The following is a 393-nucleotide window of genomic DNA, read 5'->3' on the forward strand; positions in this document are numbered from 1 at the left end:
ACCTTGGTGCACCTAAGAACCACCAGCCCACTGGTCAAAGTGAACAAAACTAAATGAAAAAATAAAACCAAGAAAACCAAACTCAGGATTATTAGGTATTCTGTAATGCTATTTTATCTCTGTACTCACAGAAAATAATTATTATTATTATTACTATTATTATTATTATTATTATTATTTTGATATGGAGCCTCACTCTGTCACCCAGGCTGGAGTGCAGTGGTGCAATCTTGGCTCACTGCAACCTCTGCCTCCTGGGTTCAAGTGATTCTCCTGCCTCAGCCTTCAGAGTAGTTGGGATTACAGGCAGGTTCCACCATGCCTGGCTAACTTGTATTTTTGATAGAGACAGGGTTTCACCATGTTGGCCAGGCTGGTCTGAAACTCCTGATC

The sequence above is a fragment of the Homo sapiens genome, chromosome 22, assembly GCF_000001405.40.
Source record: "Homo sapiens chromosome 22, GRCh38.p14 Primary Assembly".
NCBI lineage: Eukaryota > Metazoa > Chordata > Mammalia > Primates > Hominidae > Homo > Homo sapiens.